Source organism: Homo sapiens, chromosome 21 (assembly GCF_000001405.40).
Source record: "Homo sapiens chromosome 21, GRCh38.p14 Primary Assembly".
NCBI classification, from domain to species: domain Eukaryota; kingdom Metazoa; phylum Chordata; class Mammalia; order Primates; family Hominidae; genus Homo; species Homo sapiens.
Genome location: NC_000021.9, coordinates 8417459 through 8432893, shown reverse-complemented (window position 1 = coordinate 8432893; position 15435 = coordinate 8417459). Strand labels below are relative to the sequence as shown.

Below are 15435 nucleotides of genomic sequence, written 5' to 3'. Positions count from 1 at the left end.
GCCAGGCGCGACCTCTCGGGCCGCACGCGCGCTCAGGGAGCGCTCTCCGACTCCGCACGGGGACTCGCCAGAAAGGATCGCGGCAGAGGGACCGCGGCCCGGCCCGGGGACCGCTCCCCGGCACCCGGGGGACGGGGGCGGGACGGTCCCCGGCTCCCCACGGGGACTCGGAAACGAATTCGGCCGCCGCCTCAGACGGCCAGGATGAGCGCGGACCCGCGACCGGGCCGGGAAGGGCGTCCCCAGCCTCCCGCGCCACGCGCGGCGGGTCCCCGCGGGTCGCGGCTCGGGCCTCGGGAGCTACGGCGCGCTGGTCGACCGGCCCGGGCAGCCCCACGCCCGCCGCGGGCCCAGAAGCGCAGCGACAGCCTCTCCCCCACATAAACCTGCACGCCAGAGCTGTGACTCACAAGCGACGCGCCACAGCTCTGGCGCCACCGGGCCAGCCGGGCTGACGACCGCGGGCTTTCCGGAGCTCTGCCTAGCTCACAGCGGGGACGGTCCCCTCCCTCGGCAGCTGCCACCGCAGCTCCGGAAGCCGAGAGCACGATCTCAAAGCGGCCGCCAGATGGAGCCCGACAACCGCCGCGGACGTCAGCGAGACAGATCCGGCTGGCAGGGCGGCCCGTGGACCGCGAAAGCGAAACCGTGAGTCGAGAAGCTCTTCCCGAGGCCGAAAACGCAGCCCCTCTGCCCCAACCCCACACAAACGGTGCCCAAAACGCGTCTCTGCCTCGACCGCGACAGAGTCAGAAGACAACCCACGGCGCGTGGGTGTTTGGAGATGCCTCTCGGAAGCAGGGAGGGAGGGAGGGAGGGAGTGAGGGAGGGAGAAAGAACACACAAGGACTCGGTCGCGGGTCGCTGCAGACACACGGAGAGGCAGAATGGGTAGGCTCTTCCGGAATCCACGCAGAGACAGACGGGGGGAGGGGAGTGGGGAAAAGAGACAGATGGCGAAAGGGAAGGAGGGAGGGAAGGGAGCAGGGAGGGAGGGAGGGAGGGAGGGAGGAAGACAATGGAGAAAAGAGAGACAATTTAGAAAACGTAGATACACAAAGTAAACTTCTGAAACACTCCATTTTTTAAAAGACAGACGGGAAGGAAAGAAACACGAAAAAGAGAGAAAGAATGAGGAAAGAAACGAAGGAAAGAAGGGAAAAAGAAACAGAGAGGAAAGAAAAAAGAAGGAAACACAGGGAACGAAAGAGAAATAAAGCACGAAGGAAAAAAGGACAGAAAGAGAGAAAGAAGGAAAGGAAGAGAGGAAGAAAAACCTAAAGAAGGAGAGAAAGGAAGAAAGGAAGGAAGAAAAACACGAAGGAGAGGAAGAAAGAAAACAGAGATAACTACGTACGCTCGTTCATTTACACACATAAATACGACGCTTTTCATACGTAAAATAAACGTCTTTATCGACGATCCCTTCTTTATAGAGCGATGTGTATTTATTTGTATAACACAGACACCTACATCTATCATACAGAAGTCTATTTCCATACAACCGATACGTATTTACCATACGCAAGAGTATTCAATGCAGAGATACACGTTGTCGTTGTTTGCATATAAGCGTACAGAAACGTTTACATTAATACATATAAGTAAACGCGTGGAAACGAAAGAAATAAAAAAGCGAAATGAGTCAACAGGCCGGGCACGGTGGCTCACGCCCGTCATCCCAGCACTTCGAGAGGCCGAGGTGGGCGCATCACAGGAGGTCGGGAGTTGGAGACCAGCCTGAGCAACATGGAGAGACACGGCGTGCCTACTAAAAACACAAACATCAGCCAAGCCAGGCGTGGGGGTGCCTCCCTGTAATCCCCGCTAATCGGGAGGCTGAGGCAGGAGAAGCGCTCGAACCCGGGAGGCGGAAGGTGCGGTGAGCCAAGATCGCGCCATTGCACTCTAGCCGTGGAAACAAGAGTGAAACTCTGTCTCAAAAGGACGAAACAGAAAGAAAGAAAGAAAGAAAGATAGAAAGAAAGAAAGAAAGAAAGGAAAGAAAGAAAGAATGAATGAATGAAAGAAAAGAAAGCAAGAAAGAAAGAAAAAGAAAAGAAAGAAAGAAAAGAAAGCAAGAAAGAAAGCACGAAAGCAAGCAAGCAAGAAAGCAAGAAAACAAGGAAGCAAGAAAGCAAGCAAGAAAGAAACAAAAGAAAGAAAGCAAGAAAACAAGAAAGCACGAAAGCAAGCAAGCAAGAAAGCAAGAAAACAAGGAAGCAAGAAAGAAAGAAACAAAAGAAAGAAAGAAAACAAGAAAGCAAGAAAGCACGAAAGCAATCAAGCAAGAAAGCAAGCAGGAAAGAAACAAAAGAAAGAAAGAAATCGAGAAAACAAGAAAGCACGAAAGCAAGCAAGCAAGAAAGCAAGCAAGAAAGAAACAAAAGAAAGAAAGAAAGAAAGAAAACAGGAAAGCAAGAAAGCACGAAAGCAAGCAAGCAAGCAAGAAAGCAAGCATGAAAGAAACGAAAGAAAGAAAGAAAGCAAGAAAACGGGAAAGCAAGAAAGCACGAAAGCAAGCAAGCAAGCGAGCGAGAGAGAGAGAGAGAGAGAGAGAGAGAGAGAGAGAGAGAGAGGCTGGGCGCGGTGGCTCACGCCTGTCATCCCAGCACTTTGGGAGGCTAAGGCAGGCGGACCACCTGAGGTTGGGAGTGGGAGACCAGCCTGACCAACATGGAAAAACACCGTCTCTACTAAAAGTACAAACATCAGCCAGGCACGGTGGCCCATGCCTGTAATCCCAGCTAATCAGGAGGCTGAGGCAGGAGAATCGCTTGAACCTGGGAGGCGGAGGGTGCGGTGAGCCGAGATCGCACCATTGCCCTCTAGCCTGGGCAACAAGAGTGAAACTCTGTCTCAAAAAAAAAAAGAAGAAGAAGAAGAAGAAGAAGAAGAAGAAGAAGAAGAAGAAGAAGAAGAAAAAGAGAAAGTAATAAAGAAAGAAAGAAAGAAAAGGCAAGGCCAGGCAAGTCCAGGCAAGGCAAATCTACCTGCTTTCACTACATCTGGGGAGAATCAGGAAAGTCCCCAACAACAACAAGGCCTAAAGTGGAGCTGCCATCTGTCAAACCCGAGCGGAAGAGTCCACGCGGGTTAAAGACACGAAGAAAGACAAGGAAACCCCTGACCAAGGAGAAGAACAATCGGGCCCAGCCAGGGTCTGTCTCCCGGGGTTGTCTGGGCAACCAGGGAGGGCGGGCCTCCGAGACTCCGTCTCGAAACATCAATCATGATAATAACATAAAATGAAGTTAAAAAAAGAAATCACGCATAATTCCTAACGTGTTTGAGGCCTCGAAAGGCGAGAGGCGTACGTGTATGTCACGGTGGGGTTGTTCTGTTTTGTTGTTTTTTTCTTTTTTCTTTTCTTCTTTTTCCCCAGAAACTCACTTTTTAATTATTTTGTTGCGTTTCATTTTCATTTTCATTTTTTGGAGACGGAGTCTCGCTCTGTCGCCCAGGCTGGGTTGCAGTGGCGCGATCTCGGCTCACTGCAACCTCCGCCTCCCAGGTTCAAGCGATTCTCCTGCCTCAGCTCGGCCTCCCGAGTAGCTGGGATTACAGACAGTACAGCACAGCACAGCGCCCGGCTAATGTTGTGTATTGTGAGTAGAGACGGGGTTTCACCATACTGGCCCTGTTGGTCTGACCGCCTCTTGATCCACCGGCCTTGGCCTCCCAAAGTGAGGGGATGACAGGCTTGAGCCACCGCGCAGGGCCCATTTATTTATTTTATTTTATTTATTTATTTTAATTTATGTATGTATGTATGTATGTATGTATGTATGTATTTATTTATGTATTTATTTTTGAGACGGAGTTTCGCTCTTGTTGCTCAGACTGGAGTGCGATGGCGCAATCTCGGCTCACTGCAACCTCCGCTTCCCAGGTTCAAGCGATTCTCCTGCCTCAGCCTTCCTAGCAGCTGGGATTATAGGCATGTGCCACCGCGCCCGGCTAGTTTTGTATTTTCAATTGAGACGGGATTTCTCCATGTTGGTCGGGCTTGTCTCCAACTCCCGACTTCAGGTGATGCGTCCACCTCGGCATCCCAAAGTGACGGGATGACAGGCATGAGCCACCGCGCCCGGCGTATTGTATTGTATTGTATTGTATTGTATTGTATTGTATTGTATTGTATTGTATCGTATCGTATTGTATTGTATCCTATCGTATCCTATCGCATCCTATCGTATCGTATCTTATTGTATTGTAATGGGTTGTATTGACTTATTTTATTTAGTTAGTTACTTTTGTGTTATTTTATTTATTTATCTGTTTGTTCGTTTTTGCCTGATCAAAGGTCAATCAGACCCGGTCGTCAAAGTGGCGATTTCCTAGGCAACAAGGGAGGGAGGAACTTGGAGGTGGGGGCGGGGGCGGTGGAGAAGACACAGTTGCCCCAGGCTGTGCGCAGGCGGCCTGGTGCTCCCTTCCTCTGTGAGGCCTCCGTTTTCAGAGTAACAGTGACCGCTAGGTGATGCCCGACGCCTGCCAGTGAGCGTGTCAGCCCGGAATGAATTGGGATCCCCTGGGGAGGGGGTGGGGGGAAGGATGGAGGCTCCCACAGCACAGTGGGTCACCGCGCCCTCCAAGGCGATCCCCACAACTAATCGACCAGGGCTCCTGGGGGGACGCAGCCTAAGTCCCCCACCCATCGGATCATCTGGAACTTCCGTCCAGAGACGAGAGACCGACTGGGAATCCTCTCAGTCAAGGTCCAAACCGAAAAGAATCACTGGCACGGACACCAGGGCTAAGGCCATTTCTAAAAGACTGCTTTCTGTGTTTTGGGTGAATCCGTGTATTTCTGTATCACAAAATGACTGACTTTGAACGTTACGATTTTTCTCCTCCTTACGTGTACGGTCCTGTGATAGACAGACCAGGGGACTCCTCGGCTCAGAGTCCGTGAGGCCAGAAGCTGACGTCCCAAATTTCTATTTAGAATGAGTTTAAGCACGCCAGCCAAACGCTCTGCCGTGAAACTGTCTGTCGGGAAGACAAGCGGGGGAAGGGGAAAGGGGGGGTCCGGGCGCGGTAGGCTCGCGCCTGTCATCCCCGCACTTTTGGGAGGCCGAGGGCCGGTGGATCCCTCGGTCCAAGCCTTGGCAACACGGTGAAACCTCGTCTCAAAAAAAAAAAAAAAAAAAAAAAATTACAAAAACTAACTGGTTTCATAACCTGGACTCAAAGTTAATAAATAGATAAATAGGCCGGGGGCGGTGGCTCACGCCTGTCATCCCAGCACTTTGGGAGGCCGAGGTGGACGGATCACGGGGTCAGGAGATCGAGACCATCCTGGCTACCACAGTGAAACCCCATCTCTACTCAAAATACAAAAAGTTAGCCGGGCACGGTGGCGGGCGCCTGTAGTCCCAGCTACTTGGGAGGCTGAGGCAGGAGAATGGCGTGAACCCGGGAGGCGGAGCTTGCAGTGAGCCGAGATCACGCCGCTGCACTCCAGCCTGGGCAGCAGAGCGAGAGTCTGTCTCGAAAATAAATAAATAAGTAAATAAATAAATAAATAAATAAATGTAAATAAATAAATAGATTAAAATGGAAAACTAAAAAAAAGTAAAATAATTAAAAAAATAAATAAATAAACGTAGCCGGCCAGTCACGATGGCTCACGCCTGTCACCCCAGCACTTTGGGAGGCCGGGGCGGGCAGATCCACTGGGGTCGCCAGTTCGAGACCAGCCTGACCCACATGGAGAAATGCCGTCTCTACTAACAATACAAAATCAGCTGGGTGTGGTGGCTCCTCCCTGTAATCCCAGCTACTCAGGAGGCTGAGGCAGGAGAATCGCTTGAACGCGGGAGGTGGAGGTTGCGGTGAGCCGAGATGGTGCCACTGCACTCCAGCGTGGGCACCAAGAGTGAAACTCCGTCCGAAGGGAAAAAAAAAAATTAATTAAGTGCTGTATTCTGTTATTTTTGCTTCCTACCCTGAGAAGAACATAATACAGCTGTTGTCTTTCTGCCTGCCTGCCTGCCTGCCTGCCTGTGGCAGGGCCTCATTCTGTCTTTCGCCCAGACTGGAGCACAGTGACACAACTATGGCTCACTCACTGCAACCTCAACCTCCCCAGGGTTAGGCGATTCCTCGAGGGATCCTACGGCCTCGGCCTCCCAAAGTGTTGGGGTTACAGGCGTGAGCCACCAGCACCCGGCCTGAGTTAATACATCTGGTCTCACTACGTCTTAACCACGCACCCACGAAGAACTCAAGTCAAGAGAGAGTCGGCAAGAGACTCTCAGCATTCTCTCCCGAAAGCACGTGTGTCCCGAGCTCCTGTGGTTTCAGGTGGCCGCGCGTAGAGGAGAGATTTCCAATGTTTCCGGAGAGGTGCGAGCCACAGTCACTCGGGGCATCCGAGCATGAGATGGGGTTTCTGACAGCGACTGAAGGGCCAGGAAGGGCCAGAATCTGCCAAGGCCCGGCGTTCCAGGGTGGGGCCGAGGGAACCCAAGGTAGAGGGAGTCAGCGGTCCGCACGGAGAGAGCTCCAGCCCTAGGCCCCACTGTGCAGACCGAATCAGAAGGAAGAGAGTCCTTCGTCCTACCTGCCACACCCCTCACATCCCCCCACTGAACTTGGGAGTGGATCCGTGTTCTAAACACGAGGTGACTCTCGGTTTGCAATGGATCACAAGGCGCCGGGCTTTCCAGAGTCAGCAGGATAAAGAAGTCATTCTGTCTCGGACTCCCCCATCCCCCGGTAACGGCGGCTGGTGCCTTTAAATGAGCCGAGGCTGGCCGGGCCGGAGCCGCTATGGGGGGGGGGGGGGTGCCTGTGGCACTGCAGAAAGTGGGCCTGAGCCTCGAGGATGGCGGTGCTGCAGGGACCCGTCCAGGCTGCTATATGGCAAGCACTAAACCACTATGCCTACCGAGATGCGGTTTCCCCCGCAGAACGCCTTTATGCAGAAGTACACTCAGAAGAAGCCTTGTTCTTACTGGCGACCTGTTCTTACCGCTCAGGAAAGGCCTATAAAACATATAGACTCTTGAAAGGACACAGTTGTACTACCCCGCAATGCAAATGCCTGCTTGCGAAATGTTGTGTTGATCTCAGCAAGCTTGCAGAAGGGGATCAAATCTTATCGGGTGGAGTGTTTCATAAGCAGAAAAGCCACGATGATATTATCGTTCCTGAGTTTGGTGATTCAGCTCGCTTTCCCCTTCCATCGTCGGGACATGTATATTGCAAGACAGATCGGCTTACCAAAGGATCAGAATGTGACCAAAAGAGCCTTCGTTGAAATCCTTTCCTCTGGTGTCCCTTTGAATCATGATGTGAAATAGGGGGGAAAAGCCAGATCCTGACCAAACATTTTGATTCACCTCTCTAGAGAGCTTTAGCAACTGCCTGTCCAAGTGTTGCGCCACAACACTTGGACCTCGTCCTAGTTTATGTCACAGACAGCCCGAGACCGTTCTTACGGAAACACCCCAGGACACCGTCGAATGAAACGGATGGAATTTAGAATCTTCCAATTCAAAGTACTCCTTGAATACAGACTCCCCAGTGTCTTCTATCGATTCAGCTGTCCTTTCACCTGATACTGTCCCACTGGGAACAGGAACTTCCATATGATCTAAACAGGTTCAACATAAACCAAAAACTGGTCGAAGTTTATTAGGAGGACCAGCAGCTGTTAGTCCATTAACCCCAAGTGTTGGCATTTTGCCATTAGAAACCCCAAGTCCCGGAGACGGACCCTATTGACAAAACTGCACTGGTATGAGACACCGTCTGTCATTGACGTGCCATCCACCGGAGCCCCTTCAAAAAAGCCTGTTGCCAGAATCGGCCAAACCGGAACACCGTCTGTCTTCTCGCAGAGGGGAAAGAGCCGAAAGGTAACTCCAGTCCTTGCAAAAACACAAAGTTCTGGTCCGCCGACAAGGGCAACACCTCAGGTATTGAGCCCCACTATGGCATCTCCCCCAAATGCACCGCCTCGAAGAAATTCACGACTCTTGACTAGTGACAGCTCCACAACCGAGGAGAATAGGAGAAAATTAAAAATGAAGTTTCCACCTAAAATCCCAAACAGAAGAACCAAAAGTAAAACTAATAAAGGAGCAATAACTCCACCGAACATAAGTGATAGCCTGGAAGTGACAAAATTGGACTCTTCCGTCATTTCAGAAGGGAAAATAGCCACAATCGCGCCTCAGATTCAGGCTTTTAATCTACAAAAAGCAGCAGCGGAAGGCTTGATGAGCCTTCTTCGTGAAAGGGGGAAAGGTTATTTAGCTTTGTGTTCTTACCACGGCAAAGAAGCTATCAGCATCTTGAGCCATCTAGCTTCTCACCACTGCAATACCGGTTGGGTACTGTGCCAAATCGGAAGGGCCTATTGTAAACTTTCAGAGTCCACGCAAGCTGAAAGACAATTCTCAGAGGTTAGGAGGATTGAGAATTACAGAGTCGAAGGCATGGAGATCTACTCTACAACACTTTGGCATCCTCCGAAAGAGGTTGCTCTTTCAGTTCTGTCCAAAGACTTCACAGACATGGATAAAAATTCGCCAGCCAGAGGCCTGGTGTGCTGCAGGGAACTGTTTCGGTCTGCAACGGGAACACGATATTGCGATTCAATTCTTCCAGAGAACTCTCGAAGTGGATCCAAATGATGCTTATGCCTATAGCGCATTAGGGCGTGAGCTTGTCTTCACTGAAGAACTGGACAAAGCATTAGCTTGTTTTCGAAATGCTATCAGGGTCAATCCTAGACATTGTAAGGCATGGTAAGTGCTAATGAAGCGTAAAGACAAAGCCCTATGGATGGTGCCGGTACTCGCTAATTTTTCTGGTTAGATAGCTCTTTATTGTCACGAATTTGGTGAAAAATACTTAGGGATGGTACCTACTGCTGAATAACTTCTAACTAAGATGTTTCCTTACGAAACGTATGTCTTGAACAAACTCTGAAGTGAACTCATGATCGTAGAATACCAGATCCTTATACTCAACAGTTTCAGTCTTCTAGCAAACTTTTGCAGACGCTGTAGTTGTCTTTGGTTTGTGTGTGTGTTTCTTTAGTTGTGTTCCTTGATTTGTTACTTTTTCTTCGAGCACCGAAGTGGTGATGGGGACAAGAAGTGCTTGGGAGACTGGAAAGGAATAGCATAGTTCACTTATTGGATAATAGAAAAATACATGGAAACAATTCACTAGCTGCTGCTTTTTGACAGTGTTCCAGTTTACGGAGTTACTATGAAGAACTTCACGTACCCTTTAATTTAGCAGTCTCTCTGTTTTACTCTTTTGTACTCGTGTATAAGTAGGCACATAGGAAATTACTACCTAGGTCATATTGTTATCAACTGAATAAGATAGGAAAAAGTGTGGTCCTACTTCTGCCTCAACACCATCCTCACCGTTGACATTTATTGCGTTTCTCTGGACTGACTTCATAGTTTAAACGTCAAGAGAAGGCCGGGCTCAGTGGCTCACGCCTGTCATCCCAGCACTTTGGGAGGCCGAGGCGGGCGGGTCACGAGGTCAAGAGATCGAGACCATCCGGGCCGACACGGTGAAACCCCGTCTCTATTAAAAGTATAAAGATTAGCTGGGCGTGGTGGCGGGCACCTGTAGTCCCAGCTACTCGGGAGGCTGAGGCAGGAGAATCGCTTGAACCCAGGGAGGTGGCGGTTGCAGTGAGCCGAGATCACACCATCGCACTCCAGCCTGGGCGACAGAGCGAGACGCCGTCTCAAGAGAAATAAATTAAAAAAAATAAATACATACATAAGTAAATATCAAGAGAAAGTATGATTCTGAAGTCATAACCCTGTGGTAGTTATTTTGTCAGATACGGTGATCTTTGGGGTGACTTATTACAGCAGTGGAGTTCTATCATTTGATTTGCTTCTAAATCTGAAGCATTATATTACTGAAACACTTTTTGATTTGCGAATATGTTGTTTAATGGATCATATCTCATTTTGCTGTAGTAGTTACATTGCCCGAAAGATGGCCAAAAAGATAGTGCCAGCTACTGCTGACCAACGTAACAATCAACTTGCCAATACTGCCTTCTCTTCCGATAGCTACGTTCTCCGTCCTATTTTAAGAACTCAGTTCTTCATAAGACTTGTGTGGTTTTCGATTTTTTCCCAAGTCTGGTTGATCCTTGTGTTGTTATTTTTTTAAATGTGTATCGTCTGTTCAGCTATTTTGCAGGAGTCGCATTCTTAAAAAAATCTTAACCCTATCAAAAATTGTGTTTGTTTAAAGGAGGATTATTCAGATTGGCCAGCTTTTACTAGGAAGAGTGTAAATGCTGACGTATTTAGGTAGCTCTAAATACTGAGCAACTTTATTCTAACCACAAAATAGATAGCCTTTCTTTTGTCTTCACTTTCACTATCATTAGCACAGTGTTTAATACCGTTTCTTCATCTATAACACAATTATAATGATATAGGAAGCCACTCAAATAAGGCAGACATGTTGCGTTGCGCTTAAAAAAAAAAAAAAAAAGAAGTCTCTCTGTGGCACGGAATGAGGTGTGGCTCGAATCTAGAATCTCCAGTGAAAACCAATGAAAGAGGGTGAAACCCCGTGTCTACCAAAAAAAAAAAAAAAAAAAAAAAAAAAAAAAAAAAAAAAAAAATGAGCCGGCCATGGTGGCGCTGAAACAGGAAAATCACTTGAACCCAGGAGGCAAAGGTTCCAGTGAGCTGAAATCACGCCACTGCACTCCAGCCTGGGGGACAGAGCAAGACTCCATCTCAGAAACAAACAAACACACAAAGCCAGTCAAGGTGTTTAATTCGACGGTGTCAGGCTCAGGTCTCTTGACAGGATACATCCAGCACCCGGGGGAAACGTCGATGGGTGGGGTGGAATCTATTTTGTGGCCTCAAGGGAGGGTTTGAGAGGTAGTCCCGCAAGCGGTGATGGCCTAAGGAAGCCCCTCCGCCCAAGAAGCGATATTCATTTCTAGCCTGTAGCCACCCAAGAGGGAGAATCGGGCTCGCCACAGACCCCACAACCCCCAACCCACCCCACCCCCACCCCTCCCACCTCGTGAAATGGGCTCTCGCTCCGTCAGGCTCTAGTCACACCGTGTGGTTTTGGAACCTCCAGCGTGTGTGCGTGGGTTGCGTGGTGGGGTGGGGCCGGCTGTGGACAGAGGAGGGGATAAAGCGGCGGTGTCCCGCGGGTGCCCGGGACGTGGGGCGTGGGGCGTGGGTGGGGTGGCCAGAGCCTTGGGAACTCGTCGCCTGTCGGGACGTCTCCCCTCCTGGTCCCCTCTCTGACCTACGCTCCACATCTTCGCCGTTCAGTGGGGACCTTGTGGGTGGAAGTCACCATCCCTTTGGACTTTAGCCGACGAAGGCCGGGCTCCCAAGAGTCTCCCCGGAGGCGGGGCCTTGGGCAGGCTCACAAGGATGCTGACGGTGACGGTTGGTGACGGTGATGTACTTCGGAGGCCTCGGGCCAATGCAGAGGTATCCATTTGACCTCGGTGGGACAGGTCAGCTTTGCGGAGTCCCGTGCGTCCTTCCAGAGACTCATCCAGCGCTAGCAAGCATGGTCCCGAGGATCCCAGCTCCCAGCAGAGGCACTTTTGGTCACACAGGATCCTGGGCAGGAAAGTTCTCAGCAGGCTTAGGCCTCCTAGCCAAAAAGCCAAAACCACTTCTGGGATTTTTTTCAAAGAGCCAGTGGTTCCACAAGGGGCCGTGGGTAGTTGTGGAAATGGAGAGAAGTGTTTGCACGTACATATTTGAGACAGGACGGACAGGGCTCGGTCACAGATCACTTAGGACACGGGCAGATGCACATTGAGAAAACTCTTCCGGCATCCTAGGGGAACAGAGGTACGATTTTTCGAGACAGTCGAGGGAGAAGCCACCCCAGATTTTAGGATTGGATCTTTATTCATATGTAGTTTCTATGAGGTATCCAAGTCCAGAAATCAACTCGCCAGTTCTGTACAGCATTCTGTAGGGAGATCAAATCTGGGATGTCAGAAGTGAAGAATTCAGGCCTTGGTAAGGGATTAGATTAGATGTACTTGAGCTTCTTTTGCAAAAAAAGAGAGGGCGGGGGATAGCGAGAGCCAGAGACCGAGACAGACAGACGGACAGACAGACAGAGAGAGAGAGAGAGAGAGAGAGACAGAGAGACAGAGACAGAGACAGACAGAGAGAGACAACGATACACAGAGAGAGAAAGACAGAAAGAGAGAGAGAGACAGATAAAGAGACAGACGGAGAGAGACAGATAAAGAGACAGACGGAGAAAGACAGAGATGGACAGAGACAGAGAGAAACAGAAAGAGAGAGAAACAGACAGGAAGGGAGAGAGACAGGCAGAGAGAGAGAGACAAACAGACAGGCAGACAGACAGGCAGAGAAAGAGAGTAAGACAGAAGGCAGACACACACACACACACACACACACATACACACACACACACACACCCCCACAGAGAGAGAGAGACAGAGAGAGAGACAGAGACAGACAGAGAGACAGAGAGAAAGAGACAGAGAGAGAAAGACAGACAGAGAGAAACAGACAGAAAGAGAGACACAGACAGAGACAGAGAAACAGCCGACAGGGGGGAGAGAGAGAGAGAGACAGACAGAGAGAGACAGACAGACAGACAGGCAGAGAAAGACAGTAAGACAGAAGACAGACACACAGAGAGAGAGAGAGAGACAGAGACAGAAAGAAAGACAAAGACAGAGAGAGAGAGAGAGAGAGAAACAGACAGGGGGAGAGAGAGAGAGAGACAGACAGACAGGGAGAGAGAGAGAGAGAGACTAAGACAGAAGACAGACACAGTGAGAGAGACAGAGACAGAGAGAAGGAAAGACAAAGACAGACAGACAAAGAGACAGACAGAGAAAGACAGAGACGGACAGAGAGACAGAGAGAAACAGAAAGAGAGAGAGAGACACACAGAGAGAGAGAGTGAGAGAGACAGGCAGGCAGAGAGAGAGAGTAAGACAGAAGACAGAGTGAGAGAGACAGGCAGAGAGAGACAGAGAGAAGGAAAGAGAGAGACAGTCAGAGAAAGACAGAGACGGAGAGAGAGAAACAGAAAGAGAGAGAGAGACAGAGACAGAGAGAAACATACAGACAGGGAGAGAGAGAGAGAGAGACCGACAGACAGACAGAGAAAGGGAGTAAGACAGAAGACAGACACAGTGAGAGAGACAGGCAGAGAGAGAGAGAGAGAGAGAGGCAGAGAGAGAGAAACAGACAGGCAGAGAGAGAGAGACACAGAGAGAGAGAGAGAGAGAAGACAGACAGAGAAAGAGAGAGACAGAGACAGACAGAGAGACAGAGAGAGGGGGAGGAAGGGCGTGCTCAAGAAATAATCACACATATTTTATAATGCTTTTGATCCCATAAACGGTGGCCGGGGTATACTTTGAAAACAACGACAACGACAACAACAACGACAACGACAACAGCAACGACGACAACAACAACAACAACAACAGCAACAAGAGCAGCAGCAGCATTCGCCTACGGATTTCTAGAAAATAAGATGTCATGATGAAGGATAGTAAACATCAACCGGCTCTCACTGCACGTTGAGAGAGTCACAAAAGCGCTAGTTCACAACAGGAAAAAACGGCAGCTAACGTGTCTTGGGGAAAATAGACGTCTTCCTGAAAACTGGGGATTTCTACTTCACCTGAAAAGAAAGACATACGAGAAAGGAAAAACACGAACAAAACAAAACAGAACGAAACAAAACAAGCCAACAAACACGGGCCAAGGCGCCGTCCCTGGAAATCTTAAGTGAGCAAAGTTATTAGTTTTCAGAAAGCGTTTCTATTTTGGGCAAGTACTGAGAAGGCCCAGACTAGAGCCGTGGCGCCCTTCGCATTGTGAAACTCTGCTGGCCGGAGGGCGGAGAAACTAAAACATCGTGATAAAAGGTGACCGAGACCCAGCCAGGGTGAAGCTTTCCTAGGGAGGGAGGCCTGAGGCGGGAAGCAGCGGGGGGAAAAGCCTCACAACTGCAGACCCGCCCGCTTGCCCACGCGGGTCAAGGGGCTATGCCATCGGCCCAAGCTGCCTCCGGGGAAGTGGGACCGTGCCGCCCCCATCTTCAAAAACGGTGGCCCCCGAGTGAGGCCTGACGCCCACCGATGCAAATGTCAGCCTGGCAAGAATGAGATCGCCGGCAAGGGGTGGGGGAAGGGGAGAGAAGACGGAGGCACACCGGGGTGGCTCTGGAAGGTTTCCAAGCAGGGTGTTGGGAGGCGGGGGGGGGGGGGGCGGTTTGGGGGAAACCCACCTAACCGACTCACTAAATTAAGGTGAAGGGACGTGGGTAGTGGGGGGAGCCGGGGGGCAACTTGAAAATTAAACTGACCCTTCCCAAAGCCCAAGTAGAAGAGTCTAGGCGCCAAAACACAAAGAAAAGTAAAGCGCCGATCAAAGAACAATAGGGCCCCCGCCAGGGCGGAGGTTCCCTAGGCGAGGTTCCCTAGGCAACGAGGGAGAGAGGGAGGGGCCTCCAGAAGGGAGAGAGAGAAACCCGTTGCCCCAGGCTCGGTGAAGTCGGCGAGACCTCCCTCCGTGTCACGTCGACTTTCAATAACAGTGGCCGCTAGGTGATGCCCGAAGACAACCGATGCCTGCCTGCAAATGTCCGTCAGCAGGGAAAAGAATTAATGAATTAATTAATTTCCGTATTTATTTAGAGACCGAGTCTCACTCACTCTACAGCCTGGGCCGTAGTGCAGTGGCGCGATCTCGGCTCCCTGCAGCCTCCGCTTCCCTGGTTCAAGCGATTCTCCCGCCTCAGCCTCCCGAGGAGCTGGCATTACAGGGGCCTGCCCCACCGCTCCCGACTCAGCTTTGTATTTTTAGTAGAGACGGGGTTTCGCCGTGTTGCGTCCGGCCTTAACAGTTTATGTTGAAGTCGAGGAGCTTATCGGGGAAATAGGAGAAGTACGGACGCCACACGTGACCGAGAGAAAAGTCTGAAAATGCCCCTCGCATCCAAGCGGGGACCCGGCCTCGACCTCCCGAAATCGTACACCGAGTGGGGAAGCCCAGCAAGGCCCGCCTGTCTAGATTCCTCTCGGCCTCTCTAAGCACCGAAGCACGCGCTTCTCACTCTCGTGGAAGGGGCAGGGCCCTACCCGGCACGGGGGTGTCTGACAGACTGACAGAGAAAGAGACAGACATAGAAAGACAGAGATGGACAGCGAGAGATAGAGAGAAACAGACAGAAAGAGAAAGAGAGAGAGACAGAGACAGAGACAGAGAGAGAGAGACAGACAGACAGACAGGGAGGGAGAAAGACAAACAGAGAGAGAGAGAGAGAGAGAGAGAGACAGACAGACAGACAGACAGACAGAGAAACAGACAGAAAGAGAGAGAGAGACGGAGAGAGAGTGAGTGAGAGGGAGAGAGAGAGACATGGAGGGAGAGA

General features: G+C 50.5%; 1 non-coding gene and 1 pseudogene across 2 annotated transcripts; one reads left to right on the top strand and one right to left on the bottom strand.

The window, feature by feature from the left end:
* Positions 1-272: 272 nt before the first annotated feature.
* MIR6724-4 (microRNA 6724-4) lies at positions 273-364 on the bottom strand. The gene has a single exon (NR_128717.1). It is a non-coding gene; the product is annotated as a microRNA 6724-4 (primary transcript).
* A 6428-nt stretch (positions 365-6792) lies between these two features.
* Positions 6793-15234, top strand: CDC27P10 (cell division cycle 27 pseudogene 10; annotated as a pseudogene). Its single transcript, XR_430343.5, has one exon. The product of XR_430343.5 is annotated as a cell division cycle 27 pseudogene 10 (transcript).
* The last annotated feature ends 201 nt before the right edge of the window (positions 15235-15435 follow it).